Source organism: Homo sapiens, chromosome 7 (assembly GCF_000001405.40).
Source record: "Homo sapiens chromosome 7, GRCh38.p14 Primary Assembly".
In the NCBI taxonomy this organism is placed as follows: Eukaryota; Metazoa; Chordata; class Mammalia; order Primates; family Hominidae; genus Homo; species Homo sapiens.
The window spans coordinates 53,393,394-53,415,596 of NC_000007.14; the positions used below are offsets into that span (position 1 = coordinate 53,393,394).

Consider the following 22,203-nt stretch of genomic DNA (forward strand, 5'->3'; position numbering starts at 1 on the left):
TACACCGATAGAAATATTGTTAAGTGACAAGTAAGAAAAATAATTTGGAAGGAATATATAACAAAACATACCTTATCTGTTTAGCAAAAATTAAATGACATATTTTAAAATTTTATATTACTAAGTTGTTTGTGAAAACTTCATATTTCTAAATCAGAGAACATATTAACATGTTGGAGAATTATAAAGATAGAAACTAATTGTTTGTCTTTAAATAAATGTTTAAATACATAATGTGTTTTCTGCTATAGTATATATATCAGGTTTTTTGGCAGTAGTTTTATTTTATTTTATTTTCTATCAGGTTTATTGAGGTATAATTTACCTGCAGTAAAATACAACCATTTTAATTTGTAGCTCTGTATGTTTTGACAAAGTACACATCCATGTAATGACCACCATAATCAAGATAATAGCCCAGCTCCATCGCCAAAAAAGAATTCCATGGTGGCCTTTTGTTGTCATCTTCCTGCCCACATTAAATAATCACCGATTTGTTGTAATTGAGTTGTGAGATTTTGTTTATTCTGAATACAAATCTCTTACTGGAAATGTGTTTTGCATACATTTTCCTTAGTTTTTATCGTCTCTTTTAATTTTTAATAACGCTTCTTAAAAATCAGAATATCTTAGTTTTATTAAAGTAGAGTTGGCCGGACACAGTGTCTCATGCCTATAATCCCAGCACTATGGCAGGCCAAGGTGGGCAGATCACCTGAGGTCAGGAGTTCAAGACCAGCCTGGCCAACATGGTGAAACCCCGTGTCTATTAAGAATATGAAAAAATTAGCCGGTCGTGGCAGCAGGCACCTGTAATCCCAGTTACTTGGGAGGCTGAGACAGAATTGCTTGAACCTGGGAGGCAGGGGTTGCAGTGAGCTGAGACCAGCCTGGGCAACAAGAGTGAAACTCCATCTCAAAAATAAATAAATAAATGAACAAACAAATAAAGTACAGTTTATCAAATATTTTATTTCAATGATCATGCTTTTGGGATTACAACTAAGAAATGTGTTTCTAAACCAAGGCCAAAAATATTTTATCCTGTTTTCCTCTTGAAATTTTATAATTTTATGTTTTATATTTAGGTATATGATCCATTTCAAGTTAATTTTTATATTAAGTATGTAGTGTGAATCAAGGTTAATTATTTTGTGTAGGAATGTTCAAAGGATCAAGCATATTTTTTGAAAAGACTGTCTCCTATCCATTGAATTGCCCTTGTACCTTTGTTGAAAACCAATTAGCCATATATGAATGCCTCTATTTTTGGACTCTGTTATTTTCCATTGATTGATATGGAGATACCATTTTGTAAATACCAACTCTGCATGCATTCTCAGGATAAATCACATTTGGGCATGATATTATGTGTATGTGTGTGTATATATATATATATATATATATATATATATATATATATATATACACACATATACATATATATTTGAGCAATTGTCAATTTCTCCTTTCAGTTTTTTCAGTTTTTGACTCATGTATCACGCAGCTCTGTTGTTAGGTGTGTACACATTTAGGACTGCAGTGTGTTGATAAATTGATGTCTTTATCATTAGGTACTTTTATTATCCTTTTATATCTCTAATAAATTTTCTGGTTCTGAAGTCTATTTTATCTCAATGAGGCTCTTGTCTCTTGGCTAGCATTTACTGGGCCTTTTTTTTTGTTTTTTCTTTGAGACGGAGTCTCACTCTGTCGCCTAGGCTGGAGTGCAGTGCAGTGGTGCAATCTCGGCTCACTGCAACCTCCACCTCCTGGGTTCAAGCAATTCTCCTGCCTCAGCCTCCGGAGTAGCTGGGCTTACAGGTGCACGCCACCACGCCCCACTTATTTTTGTATTTTTAGTAGAGACAGGGTTTCACCTTGTTAACCAGGATGGTCTCGATCTCCTGACCTTGTGATCTGCCTGCCTCAGCCTCCCACAGTGCTGGGATTACAGGCGTGAGCCACTGCACTCGGCCAGCGTTTTTATTTTTCTCATCCTTTTAACTTATCCGTGTCTTTATGTTTAAAATAGACTTTAAAAATGCATCACTAGGCCTTTTTTCTTAAACCCATTTGACAATTTCTGTTTTTAAATTGATACATTTGGATCATTTTATTTAATACAAATTTTGGTTTACTGGATAAATATTGACCATGATGTTGTTTTGCATATTTTTTATCTCGTTTCCTTTTTTGCCTGCTTCTTGATTGTGTAAATTTTATCATTCCATTTCATCTTCACTACTAGCTATTATTTATTATTTACGCCTCTTTATTTTAGAGTTTTTCATTATTTTCTTGGGATTTACATTGGTCAATCTAAAATAATCAGAAAGGTCAGAATCTGATTTAAGGAAATTAGTTCCAGCACAAAATTTAAGGAAGAGCCACCTGCCTGAGGAGCATGGATTCCAAAGAATGCAAGTCAGTGCTCCAAAGTGTAGAAGTCTGGGACTGCTTATATAGGTAAAGCTTAGGGGAGTTTAACAGAATTTCATCTTTCTTTATAAGGCATAATGCATAACTACAAAAATCTGACTAGTTGAGGTGGTCTTTTTGTTTCTGGAAACTATAACATTCTACACTGAAGATACAACTGTCATGGCCTCTTGGGTGCCATCTGGTCTGAGAAAGTTACAGAATGATAAAGCAGGCAGTTAATCCACAGCAAAGGTCCATGATAGGAAGGGGGCTGTCTAGTCTCTGGCCTCTCATAGGCATTTATGGGAACCAGAACAATGAGAGAGTTTAATCTTAGAAGTAGAACTGCAAACATGCTACTGACTCAGCCTCCAGAGCTTAACTTTCCCCTTAGCATAATACATTTAGAGGGTTCTGAAATTTTATTTTATTTTACACACTATAAACTCTAATGAATCATAGTCAACCTTCATGTAATATTATGCTGCTCCACAACAGTATGAGAATCTTATTCTCTTACATTTCCAATTCCTGTATTTATGCTATTTTGTTGTACATTTCACCTCTGTTTATGTTAAAAAACAAAAAGCTGTCCTGGCACGGTGGCTCACGCCTGTAATCCCAACACTTTGGGAGACCAAGGCGAGTGGATCATCTGAGGTCAGGAGTTTGAGAGCAGCCTGTCCAACACAGTGAAACCGCGTCTTTACTGAAAAATACAAAAATTAGCCAGATGTGGTGGCAGGCACCTGTAATCCCAGCTACTCAGGAGGCTGAGGCAGGAGAATTGCTTGAATCTGGAGGCAGAGGTTGCAGTAAACTGAGATAGTGCCACTGCACTCCAGCCTAGGTGACAGTAAGACTTTGTCTCAAAAAATAAATAAATAAAAAATAAAATAAAACCCCAAAAGCTTTGCTATTATTTTTACTTCAGGCACTTCTATTTTGAGTTATCTAAAATAAGAAAATTGTTTTCATGTTTACATATACTTTAACAGTTTTTCAAAAGTCTGTATCTTTTGTGTAGATCCTAGCTTCTCTCAGGTACCATTTCTGCTTAAATAACTGCTTTAAGAGTTCTTATAGTGTAAGTCTACTGGTAATACATTCTTTCAGCTTTTGGTTCACTTAATAACATATGTATTTTTAATTTACTTAAAAGTATTTGACACTTGTTTGTTTTTTTTTTGTTTTTCTTTTAGCTTTGTGTTGTCTTCTATGGTAGAGGGTTTGTTCTTTTCCCTTTCCCTGCCTCAATTAGTCTTTACATATGCCCTGAAGGATATGGTATTCCCTGCCTTCACCGAGTTACTTCAGCCCTCTACTTTTTTTTTTTTTTTTTTTTGAGATGGAGTCTTGCTCTGTCTCATGGGCTGGAATGCAGTGGCACAGTCTTAGCTCACTGCAACCTCCATCTCCCAGGTTCAAGTGATTCTCTGCCCCAGCCTCCCAAGTAGCTGGGATTACAGGCACTTGCCACCACACTCAGCTAATTTCTGTATTTTTAGTAGAGATGGGGTTTCACCATGTTGGCCAGGCTGGTCTCGAACTCCTGACCTCAGGTGATCCACCCGCCTCGGCCTCCCAAAGTGCTAGGATTACAGGCGTCAGCCACTGGGTCTGGCCCAACCCTCTACTCTTTAGGGGAGAAGGGCCCAGGCAGAGCTGGATTCCACTCCATAGCAGTGGCCACTCCCTCTCTCAGGCTGTACCACTGAGGGGTCTTTCTCAGGTCTCCCACCTCACCTTTTAAATCTATTCTGGTTATCTATTGCTGCATCCTAAATAATCCACATTTAGCAGCTAAAACAACACACAGATGATCTCATCATTTGAAGGTGTGCAGGCAACGGCTTCACTGGGCCTGTGATAAGGGACCTCTCACAAGGTGCATGCAGGATTCTGGCTGGGGCTACAGATTTTGTGGGGGATTGATCTGCCTCAGAGCTCACTTGAGAGTTGTTAGCAGGGTTCAATTCCTTAAGGCTGTTGTGCTGAAGGCCTCAGTTCCCTGCTGGCAATTGGGCATTGGCTGCCATTAGTCCTTTGTCAGGTGGGTCACCCCGACTTGTGGACCTTGAGGACCAGGACATAAGAAGAGCTGGAGACAGAGAGTTCTGGCAAGCAGGACAGAAGTAATCTTTCTTTACAACCCAATCTTAAATGGGCATTCCATCACTTTTCCTGTGCTCTAACAATCAGAAGCAAGTCCCCAGGTCCAGCACACACGAAAAGAGCAAAGATTACACAAGGCAGTGAATACCAGGAGGGGGAATCACTGACAGTCACTTTAGAAGCTGCCTGCCACACTGCAATTTCTGTCCCTCAGTGATTCACATTTCTTATAAATGCACCATGCATTCACTTCCTCCTGAGGGCTTTAGAAGTCTCATTTCATGATAGTGGCGGTTCAAAGCCCATAATCCCATTATTTAAATCAACTCCACATCTTGCAGCTGGTCCATAAAGTAAACTCTACAGAAGCAAACAAATTTCCTTTGTATCTGTGGCCGCTAGAGTTACTCTATTTTCATCCTGAGCTATATTTGCTCTTTAGGAACCCACCAACTCTTTTAGCTACATTCTTCCTACCTGCATGTAGCTGTCATCCTTGCCTTCTTTCCGTGCTCTGCCACAGGTCATCCAATGTTTGCAGCCCATCTCTGTTATTGTAGGAGGCACCTCTCTTTCCTTCATTTTAAACTATTTAATTGCCCTGCAATTCAGCTCTCTGATGGGTTCAGAAAGTCATGACCCTGAATATCACTCGTTTTTAAATGTAATTTTAATAAAGACACATTTTCCAGATGCCTACACCATCAGCAGAAGCTGGAAGTTCTGTCTGTAATTTTTTGACCTTATAACTCAGTATATTTAAAAAGTTAATGATACATCTAGCTCCCTGCATTTGTGGTTTTGACCTTCATTCCTTAGTGTCCTGCTGTAGTTTCTCCAACATCCTCACATAAGATTAAACATTACACTAAAACATGACTCAAATCTGGAGACGACATTTCCCAAGATAGTTGATGCTTTCAACAGACTTTGTTAATAAGTGTCTTTGAAACACAGTCTCATTATAGAAATAAGTATATTAATGTACAAATGAAAAACTAGTTAATATATTTCTTTTTACTATTCCTGGAAAAATTATGTCGGGAACACATTTTTTTAAATTATACTTTAAGTTCTAGGGTACATGTGCACAACCTGCAGGTTTGTTACATATGTATACATGTGCCATGTTGGTGTGCTGCACCCATTAACTCATCATTTACATTAGGTACATCTAATGCTATCCCTCCCCACTCCCCCCATCCCACGACAAGCCCCAGTGTGTGATGTTCCCCTTCCTGTGTCCAAGTGTTCTCATTGTTCAATTCCCACCTATGAGTGAGAACATGCAGTGTTTGTTTTTTTGTCCTTGCGATAATTTGCTGAGAATGATGGTTTCCAGCTTCATCCGTGTCCCTACAAAGGACATGAACTCATCATTTTTTATGGCTGCATAGTATTCCATGGTGTATATGTGCCACATTTTCTTAATCCAGTCTATCACTGATAGACATTTGGGTTGGTTCCAAGTCTTTGCTGATGTGAATAGTGCCACAATAAACATACGTGTGCATGTGTCTTTATAGCAGCATGATTTATAATCCTTTGGGTATATACCCAGTAATGGGATGACTGGGTTATGGTATTTCTAGTTCTAGATCCTTGAGGAATTGCCACACTGTCTTCCACAATGGTTGAACTAGTTTACACTCCCACCAACAGTGTAAAAGGGGAACACATTTTTTAAAATTTCAATTTATGCTTTATTTTATTGAGTGTCTTTTAAAAATTTAGTTTGACCTTATTTCTTGAGTATGGCTAAACTGATAAGTATGTATAGTATATCCTTTCAAGGATGTCATTGCCTCAGAATCATAGTGATGCAGCAACTGTAAGACTATCTAGCATACCTTAAAACTGAGGGTGATGAGAAAACAGTCTGCAAAATATGCAATAACATTTGGTGAAATACCGTTTACAAAGAAAAAATCGATGAGAGTAGAATGAATAATAAATGTACGTCAGTTTATTGAACACACTAAGAAAATATCACTTTTGTGAATTGGCAATTTTTGTAACCAGCATGAACTCTTACCTCACTGTCTTGAAAAGGGAATACTATCTTTTAAGTTGTCCCCTGATAAGTATTTAGTAATACGAACAAAATATGAAGAACTTGAATAAGGTGGAAAGGTGAAAACCTGTTACGTTCTGTAAAAGGTGATCTATATTTCAGTGACTTGGATGCTTGGATGCTTGGAGGTGGGTGGAGACAACTGTGCTCCCCAGCTTTTATTTATTTATTTATTTATTTATTTATTCATTTATTTTTATTTTTGAGACAGAATTTCTCTCTGTCGCCCAGGCTAGAGTGCAGTGGCATGATCTTTGATCACTGCAACCTCCACCTCCTGAGTTCAAGTGATTCTCATGCCTCAAGCCTCCCGAGTAGCTGGGACTACAGGCCCACACCACCACACCTGGCTAATTTTTAAAATTTTTTGGTAGAGACGGGGTTTCGCCATGTTGGTCAGGCTAATCTCAAACTCCTGACCTCAGGGGATCCAGCCGCCTTGGCCTCCCAGTGTGCTGGGATTATAGGCGTGAGCCACCGTGCCTGGCCCTCCCCAGCTTTTAGCTCCTGAAGCATCTGGGTGTAGACCTCCTAGTCATCCACATCACGTTCTCCCATTCTACCACTTGGTTCAGACTAGTAGTTCTGAGAGTTGTTGTTTTCTTTCCTGTTTCTAGTGCACTTCTGGATAAGGATACACTCTATCATTTGGTTCAGACTAGTAGTTCTGAGAGTTGTTGTTTTCTTTCCTGTTTCTAGTGCACTTCTGGATAAGGATACACTCTATCATTTGGTTCAGTGTCAGGACTGTTGTTGAGGCTTCCTTCTTCCTGTTTATAACCTGCAGCTACTAGCACAAATGAGGGGTGCTGGCATTTGCACAGAGGTGTATACTAATGTTTTTGTCCATTTCACACTGCTGATAAGACATACTGGAGACTGTATAATTTATAAAGAAAAAGAGGTTTAATGTACTCACAGTTCCACGTGGCTGAGGAGGCCTCACAATCGTGGCAGAAGGCAAAAGGTACATGTTACATGGCAGCAGACAAGAGAGAATAACAGAACTTCTGCAGGGACACTCCCCTTTGAAACCATCAGATTTCCTGAGGCTTATTCACTATTATGAGAACAGCATAGAAAAGATCCACCCCCATGATTCAATTACCTTCCACCGAGTCCCTCTCATGAGACGTAGGAATTGTGGGAACTGTGATTCAACATGAGATTTGGGTGTTTGCTACAACAGCTTTCTGTAATTTTGTAGAATTCCAGTAAATATTGTTCATTGCTTAGTTTCACTCATCTCATCCATAGGTCATAGTGTCCTGGTTGTTTCAAACTAAAATAACACTACAACAATCATTTAGTTCCATTTATAAAGCATTGTCTAGGATCATTTAGAAAATCATCTAGGGCCACTTAGAAGTCTATTTATCCCCAGCGAATACGTCATAGTCACATATTACCCTACATGTCAGACTCCATTGTAGTTCCTATGCATTGTCTAGGCATCTAAGATCTTTCTCCAAATTGGTGTTTACAGGCAAAGGGTCTTCCTGTGACTATGCATAGGACTCATCCCGTAACTGGAGTTCCACAGTGTCCCATGAAAATTTTATTTGGGTGAAATATCTTAGGTCCTTTATTCATTTGTTAGATCAGTAAAAACTTATAAAAGAAATGCTCTGCTATATAAGCATTTTAGTTTTCATTGAGAAACACACTAAATATCCGTGATTGACAGAATTCATTTAAAAACATAACATTCAACCAATATTTAGAAGTCTACCATTGTAATGTGTAATTTTTTTTTTTTTTTTTTTTTGAGACAAAGTCTCGCACTATCGCCCAGGCTGGAGTGCAGTGGTGCAATCTCGGCTCACTGCAAGCTCCGCCTCCTGGGTTCATGCCATTGTCCTGCCTCAGCCTCCCGAGTAGCTGGGACTACAGGCGCCCACCACCACGCCTGGCTAATTTTTTTGTATTTTTAGTAGAGACGGTGTTTCACCATGTTAGCCAGGATGGTTTCCATCTCCTGACCTCATTATCCGCCCGCCTCAGCCTCCCAAAGTGCTGGGATTACAGGCGTGAGCCACCGCACCCGGCCTGTACTGTGTAATTCTTAAAATGCTCTTTATGACGTGTACAAAGTTTAAATATTGCAACAATACTCTGAGCATTGTGCTAGATATGTTGAGATAGTTTGAAAATGGAAGAGAGTTACAGTAAAAATTCATATACATTTAAAGGAAAATACAACTATGAATATCTTGGATTTGGGAATCCAGTAAGCTTTTGGAAGTAATATTCACACTCCCCTCTCTCATTTATTTTAAATAAAACCTGCTAGAAACTGTTAGTAGAAGAATACTTTTTTTTCAAAAGGAATTGAATTATAATTGGGCAACCCTTTCAAATGTACAAAAATTTACTGATAATGAAGCCCAAAACATTCATAAATGATAGTCTTATCTGAATTTAAGAGCTCCTGTCTCAACTAGATAGACCTGGAATGCGTAAGGTATAAACAATATTCACCCATTAGGACCTCGAAGTTCAATGCATTGACTCTACAGGTTGACAATCCATGTTCACGTATTCTTAATTGTTCCGTAGAGACTCAGAGGGCAACAATCCAAGTCTGTACACTTTCCTCAGGGACAAACAAAAACACTAGCAGCAAGAATAAAAGCACTTGGGAAACCATCTTATCTTTCAACCTGAGCCATGGCCTCTATTTTCTTACCTTCTAATTTAATCTTATCACCAACACTGACAACTTTCAAGGGAGCTTTATTTTTTTATTTTTGAGATAGCAATGGTTTTAATAAAGGATTATTTCACTGTTTTATAAATGCGTATCTATTTTGAATATGAGTTTCTGTAAAAACGTCGTTTTTTAATTTTATCAATGTTTCTTAATTTCAATGTCCTCAATAATCTATCTTCTCAATACTATTATTTTATGAAACTCATAATGGAAGTATCAGAATGAATAAAATCTGATGTGAATTCCTCATTTGAGAAGATAATTAAAACAATGTTAGTGTATTTCTGGAATGTGTAATAGTAACCTGCTACATATATAGATACATATTTAAAGGCAATACTGCTGTCTCTGTGAGAGTGCACACAGAGCAAGTCTGCTGCCTTGGAAATTGAAGCAAAGGAAAAGCATTAAATCCATATTCTTACCTGTCATGGAAAGCATGACAGGTATCAGCAGGTAAGCCTGGTGTGTTCAGATTTGACTTGTAGGAAGGCTTGCCCATAAAAGGGGTGACATATGAAAAACGGCTACATAAAAATTCCTAAATGAGGAAAGTAAATGTGTATATTTTTGATCAGTAAGGATAAGGACACATCAAAGTGATGCTTAGTGGCAATAAATTATACCCATAAATGTAAACCATTTTGATTTTAGGTAAATTTAGTTTCTCAAAACAAATTTATCTCTGACTTGCTATATAATATGTAAAACTGTGTACTTCATATATGAAAATGAAATAGCTACAAAACAATCTTTTCTACAAAATGAATATTGGGAAAATCTTTTCTGCCTTTATTTTTATATTTACTTTAGTAAGTGTTGTGCCATGGGAAGTAATATGATATCTTTTTATTTCAGAGCATAAACATACAAAGAAATGGTTAGAATTTTAGATGAAAATGTATTCTAACGATACTATCCTACCTGCTTACTTCTAATGATTTTCTAAGATTTTAGAGTCCTGACTGGTAGGTAGTTTTCATCACACGTACATGGGTTCTGATGACAGGGCTTGGTTTGAATTCTGGCTACCTAGTTTATTGAGGCTTGTCCAACTTTAGAAAGCTACTTATTTCAATAAGCCTGAGATGAGTTGATGTCAGCTGAACTGTGTCAACAAAATTCATATGTGGAAGTTCTAATGCCCAGTACCTTATAATATGACTGTATTTGGAGATGGAGTACTTAAAGAAGTGATTACTTTAAAATGAAGTCTTTGGGCAGGCCCTAATTCAATACAACTAGTGTCCTTATAAGAAGAGATAAGGACACAGACACACACAGAGGGAAGACCATGTGAGTAAACAGGAAGAAGGTGGCCATCTGCAAGTCCAGAAGAGAGGCCTCCCAAGAACCAACCCGGCCAGCACGTTGACCTCAAACTTCCAGCCTCTGGGACTGTGAGAAGGTATAATTCTGTTGTCTAAGACACCTAGGTAGTACTTTGTGATGGTAGCCCATGCAGACTAGGGCCTGGGCGTCCTTGGAAAAAATAGGAAAAAAAAAATATATATATATATATTATATATTATATATATGTGGGCTGTTTTGATGATTAAATAAGTTGTTGCTAATTAGTGATACCCTATTTGCACCTCACTCACATTTCATAGTAAAGGTCTATAACTCTTGCCTCTCTAATTATCATTTATATAATAGTTTGCCTGGGCTTCTGCCCTGTTTCTTACTAAATGAGACAATATGTGGCTCCCAATGGAACACCCTGGGCACAGCTGGTTTAAAGAGACTTGGTCAATTGGTATCATTATTTTCAGTAGACTATAACCAAAATATTATTGTTGAGGAACAAGCCTGTGTGTACAGTATTTCTTGTCACATCATGATCAATACAATTCAGACATATAAAATCTGAATTCCGAAAGCATAACATTTAATAAAATCTTTGAATAAAATGATATCAATAAGGCCTTATTTGGCTAGTATAAAACAAGATAAAAATTACAGTTTGAACAATAACAACTTATAAGATTAGAAATGAGAAAGTATTTATTGTATAAGGGATTAAGAAAGAGAAAAATTAGGAATTCAATAACTTGTCATGTTAAAAAGGCATGCAAAAATTCTAAAGCAACCATTCACTGGCCATATATAAGACGGATAGCTTCTAATCTTAAGGAAGAAAACCATTTTGAGAAATAGAACAATATATTTTAAAGTCACTAATAAATAAAAAGATGTAAAGATAAGAAAAATGAAGATAAAATAAGAACATTTGAAAATCGCAACATAAGATGAAATAGATACTTCCAAATACATCACCATTGACTGTTAACATACATTTACTTTTCCAGTATCAAACTTAGATTGATAAATTCCACTCTCTACTGAAAATTCTGGTTCACAACATAATTATCTATCCTATATCTAAGAATATTAAAACAACTATATGAAAAGTGCCACCACCAATATGATCACTGAAAGGAGGTAATTTTAGATTTTCTCATAGTACTTTTATTTTCAGCTTGCATAGTGTTTGAGTTGTCGTTTCGTGTGTTGCATTTTAAAAGTACTTGGAATAGTTCCACTCTGCAAGGTTTTGTCACCAATAGATACACTTTAGTTCATTTTTAGTTCACTTTTTACTTGTTTTTAATAGCTTGATTTAAAAATATGTATTTTTTTATATTTCAATAAGGTATGTTAGAAAAGGATGAACTTCTGTTCCTTACTGCTCAATACTGTTCCCTTCCTCTTTTCATAACTGTTCAAAATATTTTGGTTGATTCTTCCATGTTTAAATATGAACGTGTATGTATATGCTTATATTCTTTAGTTTTTCGATGAAAAGTAACATAACCTGCACATTTCTGTCCAATTTGCTTTTATTTGTTGAGTTCAATCCAAAACAGTGTATAGTTTCTTCTTAGCATTTCAGAGCTGTTTAATAGGCCCAGTTGGGGGCTTATTCCACAAATCTGCTGTCGATGAACATTTCAGTTATGTCCGAACCTATATACTATGAGTAGTGCTGCACAAATTAGGAAAGAAGCCTATGGAATTTTGTAGATTTAATAAAAAATTGAGTAGTTTTAATTTTCATTTTATCTTCTTCAAAACATATTAGCTGAACTCCTTCTTGTTTACTTAGTAATTGATATCGTCCAAATATGTTCCCTAAAATTCATTTGTTGAAATTTAATTGCCATTGTGATTGTATTAAGAAGTAAGGCCTTTGGGAGCTGATTAGATTATGAGGGCAAAGCCTTCATGAATGGGATTAGCAGTCTTATAAAAGGGCTGGAGGGAAGAAGCATTTGCCCTTTCTGCCCATCCCTCCTTTCTGCCATGTTATGACACAGTGCTCCCCCTGTCCAGAGGGTACAGCAGTAATGCAGTATCTTAAAATCAGAAGGCAGCCGTCACAGAACACTGAACCGGCAGGCACCTTGACCATGGACTTCCCAGCTCCAGAACTGTGAGAAATGAATTCCTACCATTTATAAATCACCCAATCTGGAATGTCTTTATAGTGGCACAGATGGCCTAAGACAGTGATTATCTTATGGTTTATAATATATAGCTTTAGTCTACAACAATCAGCCTTCAAATAATATTATGTCACCTGCCCATGTTCCATTTTTGGGTTCATTATTCTTTTTGTAGATCTAGGTTTATGTCTATTACATTTTTCCTTCCCCCCAAAGACTTCCTTTAGTTTCTTATAGTGTGGGTTTGCTGTTGATGATGTCTTTCAGCTTCTGTGAAGCAAAATAGTCCTTATTTTTGCCTGTTTCTGAAAGATAGTCAACAAAGTATTACACTTTATTGTATGCAATTATAGGGTGCTTTTGATCCTTCTTTCACTTTGTTAAAGATTTTACTCTTCCTAGTTTACCTATAATATACCTAAACCACTACCAATAATCTTTCTGGTTTACGTATTTTTTTTGATGAGAAATATGTTTGCTAATACACAATGAATTTGTCTTTTCTTCTCTCAAATATGACTGATTTTTAGTTTTCTTTTTGTCGATAGTTTTAAGAATTTTGAGTACAGTATCACTTGGTGTAGTTTCTTTTGCCTGATGTTCATGGAACTTCTGGAATCTGGAATCTGTGGGTTCATAATTTTCAAAAGTTTTTTGTTTGTTTGTTTTTTAAGAGACATGATTTCACTCTGTCACCTGGGCTGTGGTGCAGTTGCAAGATAAGAGCTCACTCTTACCTCAAACTCCAGGGCTCAAATAATCCTCCAGCTTCAGCCTCCTGAGTAACTGGTACTACAGGCATGAATGCAGCTTATTTTTAAAAATTTTTTTTGTAAGGATGAGGTCTCTCTGTGTTGCTCAGGCTGGTCTCAAACTCGACCTCAAGTGATCCTCCCGCCTCAGTCACCCAAAGCACTGGGATTACAGATGTGAGCCACTGCACCTGACCTCAATTCCTTTTTAAATGGTAATTATTCTTCAAATATTTTTTCTATGACTCTTCTTTAAGGACTCCAATGGCACATTTATTAGGCCACTTGAAGTTTTCGCACAGCTCACTGATGTGAGGACTTCATATTTGTACATATTTTTCTTCTGCAGTTTACTTTTCATCTCAGCTATTGTATTTGTTTACTTCTAAAATTTCCATATAGGGTCTTTTAAAATATTTCCCATATCTTTACTTAAGATGCCCAATCTTTATCTTCTTGAAGGTATGGATTAAATTATACAAAATATTTAAAGTCATTTTCTGTTATTCCTATCATTTGTGTCATTCTGCATCTGCTTCTGTTGATTGACTTTTCTTCTTATTCTGAGTCATATTTTATGCCATTATTGAGTGACTTTATTTTTAAATCAGTTTACAGATCTTGTGGATTTTAGTTGTTGGGAGCTATTTAGGCAGAACAAGGGATACCTTTCATCTAGGGATAATTTTTCACCAATCTCAAGGCCATACACTTCTGAGCATCTATCTGAGTGTGCTTTATTTACAAAGCTTTCCATGATGCTGAGGGAGTACCAATAACATTTGTGTGAGCTCCCAAATGTGTTCCTTCTGCCTCCTTGTGAGTGGTTCCTTCCCTAGTCTCAGGAAGCCAGCACATGCATTGATCTGTCCCATGGTTAGATGCCCATGGGGCCCCTCCAGAGCTCTGAAGCTTGACCACTGTGCAATTCACCCCTCTCTGGTATTAACCTGTGAATTGTAGCTGTCTTGACTTTCCTGGCCTCCTGGCTCCATTCTTTCAATTCTGGGAGACTACCAGCCTCTACTTGATTGTGTTCTTACTGGTCAGTGACCTGAAACTCTCCCAGAAGTTAGCTGGGAAAATCTTAGCTCAGTCTCTTCCCTTTATCTCAAGGATCACTGTCTAGAGTTGCCAAATGTCCAATATCTGAAAAATATTTTAATTTTTATAATATGTGTTTTTAGTTAGTTTAAGGGGGAGGTGTTTTTACTGGACATTGACTCTAACTTAACAGTTTACTTATCACCATTAAAGATATTATTCGATGTATTCTTGTTTCCAACATTCTTTTTTGAGAAGTGAGCTGTTGATACTATTGTCATTTCATTTAGATTTTTTGTCCTTGTCAAGATTTTTCTCATTTTATATTTTTCAACAGCTTGAATATGTGTTCCTAATGATATTTTCTACATTGTTATCTTACCTTGGTATCACTTGGTTCCTTAAAATTTGTTTTTCTTTTTTCTTTTTTTTTTTTTTAACCAGTTTTGGAACAACCTTAAGAATTGTCTTTTGTTTGTTTTTCTATTTGTGTGATCTTTGAAGTTTATTGACGTGAAGTAGTTCATTGTACTTTTATGATTTACAGAATATCTACATGGTCTGTGATTATGTCCCCATTATTATTTTTATTATTGTTTTTTTCTGTTTGTTTAGTTATTTGTCTAATTTCACCATAAGTATTCCCATTTCCCTATTATTTCAAAAGACAAATCCAGGACATAGTGACTTTCTATATTATACTTGTTTAATCCCAGTTTTTGCTCTTACATTTATTATTTGTTTTTAATTTATTTTTTTACTTTTTGAGATGGGTAAGTAGGTAATCAAGATTTTAATAAACTTTGAGAATAGTTTTAGATTTACAGAATATTTGCAAAGAAAGTATAGAGTTTCCCTATAACTTGCACCCAGTTCCCTCTATTATGAAGAAAGTACATTAGTATTGGACATTCATTACTTTTTTTAATTCATACATTAGTAACTAAAATTCATTCTGTATTGGGATTTCCTTCCTTTTTATCCCCTTTTTTTTCTATTTTGGGATACCACATTCCATTTAGTCATGTGTTTTGGGGAGGAAGATAACAGATTAAGTACAATTTTTATCATATGATATCAAAGATACACAAATTATCAACGTGACTTTCATGGTTGATATGGAGCTTGATCACACGGCAAAGATAATGTTTGCCCTGTTTTCCACCAAAATCCACCTGCTTTTGCACGGTATACTCTTTGGAAGGAAGTCAATCTGCACAGCCTGAACTTAAGGAGTGGAGAGTTATGCTTCACCTTCTTGAGATGAAGTATCCAAACAAATTACTTAAAATTATTCTGCATGGGAGATTCATTTTTTTCCCCATTTTCAAACTTTATTCAATGTTCCATTTCTGTCAGGGTGAATTCATGAATATTTATTTCAAACTTTAGTAATAATCCATTAGCACTTTTTTCATGTTGTTGCTTGGGTTGCTTCAGCTTTGACAATTAGGACTTTTAGTGGGCTCTTGGGTGCATTTGACATATTCCGTTATTGTGTGTACGTGTGTGTGTGTGTGTACCCAGCACTTCTTCACTTCCTTACTTCCTGCCACAATAGGCTGCTCCAGGCTTATCTTGTATATTTCTTGTTCAGCCCTAGAATCTACCATTTCTCCGAGGACGCTGATTTCTGTTTATTGGAGAATGGTTTTAGATCTGAGACCTAGGTGCATAAGCTCATCATTGCCTAGGTTTCATAACTTCTAAGCCCTCTCAGGTGACAGAGCAAAAAAAATGTTTGAGTGTACACTAACCTGCACATTTACATGTACCTATAAATATGTTTGTATGTAAATACCTGTATCTATATTTGACTAAGTATAAATTCATACTGATGTCTTCAATTCTAATTAATTGATTATCACTAGGATCATTCTAATCTCCATTCGCTTCTTATCTATGAAATCCTTCTCCAACAATGAGAAACCTCACACCATTATTTGCCATCTATTAACTTCATTGTGAAATTCCAGGATATACTTATTGGAATAATAAAATTGCTAACCATAGACCTGGAAATAACTTTATCATTGGAAATACAATGCCTATGTAGTGTCTTTTGCCTTACTTTTGTATTCCATTTATTTTCAAATTTAGTCAATCAGGTTTCATTTCCTATTTTCTTCAAGGACAGCATACTTGTCATGGTGAACCTAGTTGAACATTGTAATTTGTATTTTTATTATTAAAATAATGTATACATACTCATGAATTTTTTCTCTGCAATGTATCATTGTCAAAATCCAATGTATTCTTTATAACTGTTTTAAAAGTAATTTATTTTATTTATTTCTATTTTAGAGATGGGTTCTCACTGTGTTGCTCAGGCTGGAATACAGTAGCTATTCACTTGGAGATCATAGTGTGCTATAGCTTTAAACTTCTGGGCTCAAGCAATTCTCCTGCCTCAGCCTCCTGAGCACCTGGGGCTACAGGCATGTACCACTATGCCAGACACATAATTCTTTTTAAATGTCTGCCTAGAAATCTGTTTTTCATGCACATTTACATGTATGTATGTGCACATGTGTGTGCATATATTGAATACATATATATACTTTCTCTTTGTAATTGTATATTAAATGGATACAGCAGGATAGGTGAGTACACGTGCACTTTTATCTCAGCCATAACAATGAGAATGGCCACAAGTGTCAGTAAAATGCATTTAGATAAAAATTGTAGTGACCTTTGAGTGATCATACACACATTTTTCAAGACCATTTTTAATTTTACAACTTTTCTATATTGAGTATATATTAGATTTAGATATGAAACAAAAATTATGAAAGTATATGAAATATAGACATTTATCTCTATGTATTTATCTGTGTTTATTTCCCTTGACATGTGTTTTCAATTTCCTCAACTTTACTTATTTTTTAGTGTTCCAGTATTTACTTATAGTAAATATTATATTATTGTTTTCTAAATGAAACTTAATTTGCTTTGTTGCCTAGTGAGTGAGATAACAATACCCATGCACCAGATGAAAGCTGCATAAGATCCTGTCTCTAAAACTTTTTGCCAATTTGATAATAATATTATTAATATTAAACTTAGATCTAGGCTGGTTCTGTACTTTTACAATTGCAAATTGTGCTGCTATAAACATGCGTCTGCAAGTATCTTTTTCATATAATAACGTATTTTTCTCTGGGTAGATGCCCAGTAATGGCATTGCTGGATCAAACGGTAGTTCCACTTTTAGTTCTTTAAGGAATCTCCATACTGTTTTTTCATAGTGGTTGTACTAGCTTACATTCCCACCAGCAGTGTGAAAGTGTTCCCTTTTTACCACATGCATGCCAACATCTATTATTTTTTGACTTTTTAATTATGGGAATTCATGCAGGAGTAAGGTAGTATCTCATTGTGGTTTTAATTTGCATTTCCCTGATAATTAGTGATAACTTTTGCATATGTTTATTGGCCATTTGTATATTTTCTCTGGAGAATTGTTCACTCATTTCCTTTACCCACTTTTTTTTGTTGTTGTTGTTTTGAGACGGAGTCTCGCTCTCGCCCAGGCTGGAGTGCAGTGGCACGATCTCGGCTCACTGCAAGCTCCGCCTCCCAGGTTCACGCCATTCTCCTGCCTCAGCCTCCCAAGTAGCTGGGACTACAGGCGCCCGCTACCATGCCTGGCTAATTTTTTTGTATTTTTAGTAGAGACGAGGTTTCACCATGTTAGCCAGGATGGTTTCGATCTCCTGACCTCGTGATCTGCCCGCCTCGGCCTCCCAAAGTGCCGGGATTACAGGCGTGAGCCAACGCACCCTTGATGGAATTATTTGCTTTTATCTTGCTGATTTGTTTAAGTTCCTTGTAGATTCTGGATATTCGTCCTTTGTCAGATGCATAGTTTATGAATATTTCCTCTTATTCTGTGGTTTGACTGTTTGCTGATTATTTCTTTTGTTGTGCAGAGTTTTTTAGTTTAATTAGGTCCTATCTATTTATTTTTGTTGCATTGCTTTTGGGTTCGTGGTCATGAACTCTTTGCAGGAATTTTTCTGATGTTATCATATGGAATTTTTATGGTTTCCGGTCTTAGATTTAAGCCTTTGATACATCTTGAGTTGATTTTTGTATAAGGCGAGATATGAAAATCTAGTTTCATTCTTCTACATGTGGCTTGATATACCATGGAATGTTACTCAGTCATAAAAAGAAATGAAATAATGGCATTCACAGCAACCTGGATGGAGTTGGACACCATTATTCTAAATGAAGTAACTCAGGAATGGAAAACCAAACATTGTATATTCTCACTTGTAAGTGGGAGCTAAGCTATGAGGATGCAAAGACATAAGAATGATATAATGGATTATGGGGACTTCAGGGTTGAGGGATAAAAGACAACAAATTGGGTACAGTGTACACTGCTTGGGTGATGGGTGCACCAAAATCTCAGAAATCACACCTAAAGAACTTATGCATATAACCAAACACCACCTGTTCCCCCAAAACTATTGAAAGAATAATAATATTAAAAGGAAATAAATACAAATAGAATAAATTTAAATCTCTTTATTTATAATCATGTTAATTTTTGGACATTATTGTTTTCTATTTTTCATATCTTTTTTCAATTATATTTCTAAGTCTTTGACACAACCAACTTTTATAGAATAAAAATCAGTCTTTTTGTATTATTATTTTTAATTGACATAATAATTATACATAATGATAAGGCACAGTATTATATTTCAATAGATGTATGCAATCAATATTGATCAATTCAGGGCAATTGGCATATCCATCACCTCAAACACTTATTGCTTCTTTCCTTTGACATACATTTTCATAATATTTTCAGATAGGAAACTAGTTTTCTGAATTCTATATTTCCAATATTTTTGTAATCTGTGATATCTCTGAATTATCATATTTAAGTTGATGTGTTGGTTACTTTTAGCTTTAAATTAGAAATCTTGAAACACATCTCCTATTAAGTAGAACTTGGGTCAAACTTTTACATCCTTATTGAGTGTTTGGGTCAAGAGTTCTTTCATTCCAGGTGTTTATGTTTTACTGATGAAATAAAATGCATGTAGTATTTGATGCTAATTTGAAGCTGACCTCTAGAAACTTAGTTTGCATTGGCAATAATTCATTTAATGGATTTCTCAACTAATCAGACACAATTAATTTATAGTCTTTGGTGCAGAAAGAAATTCCAAGCAACATGAGCAGCCAGTCTCTTTATAATCGTGCACTTTCAGTGCACAGCAGTAACACACAATCAATAGGTAGTCACATCTGATTAGCATCTCACATTTAGAGAGTGCACTGTCTCAATCTCAGAGTTCTCAGTAAATGAGAATGCATCTTAGAGTTGGAAAGTATGTGATTTGGGCCTGTAGTAACCAACATACTCCATTCTAAATCAAATTGTCAATCCTCAAATATGTAATTTCTAAGAACTGGATACGTTACTCAAAGTTCCACAGCTTTCAAATGAACATAGAGAAGAGTTTTCCCCTTCTGGCTCACTCTTATTTTCTTTAAAATTATGCCAGTCACAGTGCTCAGCTGATCATCTATCTATCTGTACAGATGGATTATTTTGAGGTCTAGCCTACCAGGTTCTTCAGCTCATCTCCAACGAACTTGTCTTCCTCCCTGCTTCAGCCACACATTCCAACAGTTATACTCTGAGACTTTATCATTACCTACTCAAGTCCCCCTCCCCGAATATTATTCCTAAAATTTCATGGTCTTCCTAGTGAATCCTGCCTTTTCATATCACCTTCTCACGTACTGAAAATCTATCAAAAGTTTGGCTCCAAATACATAGTCCTCGATGTACTAATCTTGCCACAATTTACTAACAACAACCCCATTTATTCTGTATGTTCCACTTAGTTTATCCAGTTTAAATTAGCTGGTCATTCCTTATACCCTTTCCCTTGCTCGTGATCAAGACTACCTTTACCCCTTGAAAGGACAATAAAAATGCTGGTTAAATTCCTACCTTGACAACCTTATTTCCTGTGCCCCGGAAGCTACTGTGACTAAAGAAAAATGCTGAAAGCTACCCTTTTCAGTTCCCAGTCCCTGCGTTGAGTGGAGTCATTCATTCTCTCCAGCAATTGTTCTACCTTTCTCTACCCCTTTCTCAAAACTTTATATCTTTTCTATTTTTCTCTAACCTACAAGACTGCTTCACCCATTCATACTCAGTTGAAACCCTTACTTTCTATTTCACTGGGAAATTGCTGTTTCTTATATTTTCTTAGATGGGTTCCCACATATTCCAGCTTCTCTCTTGTTATTGGTGGTTGAACATTTCTTACTCCAGTTAAGACGGAGCCCTCAGGGGGAGGATTTGTCTATCTGTTCACCTCTTTCAATCTATCCTCAGCACCACAAACAGAGGAATATTGTTAATTAAAAAATCAGATCATGCTGCTATATCACCTCATTGGTGAATGACTATAGAAACAATTGTTTATTCCCCAATAATCAATTTCCCCTGAAACCCTAGCATCCTAATTACCAGCACTCCACCTTAATTGCTCACTACCATGGATACCCCCAACATCTCTTACTCACCAGAACCGTTCTGATTCTCAAATAAAAATAAAAGTCTGATTCTCTAATCTTAGCACAGCATGATATAGATAGATATACATATAGATATATAGTTTCATTTTTTTGCCCCATTCAAATAATTACGGAGATTCCAAACTTCTGATTCATCTTTTTCTTTTTTTTTTTTTTTTTGAGACGGAGTTTCGCTCTGTCGCCCAGGCTGGAGTGCAGTGGCGCGATCTCGACTCACTGCAAGCTCCGCCTCCCGGGTTCACGCCATTCTCCTGCCTCAGCCTCCCGTGTAGCTGGGACTACAGGCGCGCGCCACCATGCCCGGCTAATTTTTGTATTTTTAGTAGAGACGGGGTTTCACCGTGTTAGCCAGGATGGTCTCGATCTCCTGACCTCGTGATCCGCCCGTCTCGGCCTCCCAAAGTGCTGGGATTACAGGCGTGAGCCACCGCGCCCGGCCTGATTCATCTTTTTCTTTAACTTAAGACCTTTGATCATTTTCCTGCAGAGAGTTGACAAAACTTCCATTGTGGTTCATATGACTGTATTCCTCAAAGATACTGATTTTTTGGGGGAGAATTTCACTTAAAAGCCTACACTTATGCAACTATAAATTTATGATGACAATTTCAGCTGGGCTACTCCATTACTCAATAACCTTTATTTTGGGAGTCAGTTTTCTTCCTGTCTTCTCCCTGTGCTACACACCTTCTATATTCCTCATATTCAAACATTTCCTCTTTATTCTTAGCAATCACCTTCATTTCTCTGCAATGAAAGCAGAATGTTTAGGCAAAAGCTTTTAAAACTAGGCCAGGCGTGGTGGTTCACACCTATAATTCTAGCACTCTGGGAGCCTGAGGCGGGTGGATCACTTGAGCCCAGGAGTTCAAGACCAGCCTGGGCAAAATGGAGAAACCCCATCTTCACAAAAAATACAAAAATTAGCTGGAGGTGGTGGTGCTCATCTGTGGTCCCAGCTACTTGGAGCTTGAGGCAAGAAAATTGCTTTAGCCGAGGGAAGTCAAGGTTGCAGTGAGCCATGATTGTGCCACTGCACTCCAGCTTCCAGCCTGG

The 22,203-nt window shown here is 36.7% G+C and overlaps 1 long non-coding RNA gene across 4 annotated transcripts in view; it reads right to left on the bottom strand.

The window, feature by feature from the left end:
- The window catches only part of LOC105375282 (uncharacterized), a 70,883-nt gene that overhangs the window by 45,370 nt on the left and 3,310 nt on the right, over positions 1-22,203 (bottom strand). For 3 of the 4 annotated variants that reach the window (XR_927268.3, XR_927267.3, XR_927266.3), the window contains exon 1: positions 5,017-5,268. The exons of the other annotated variant lie outside the window; for it this stretch is intronic. This is a non-coding gene — a long non-coding RNA (uncharacterized LOC105375282). Of the gene's footprint in view, positions 1-5,016; positions 5,269-22,203 lie in introns of those variants that run through there. 4 annotated transcript variants of the gene reach the window in all.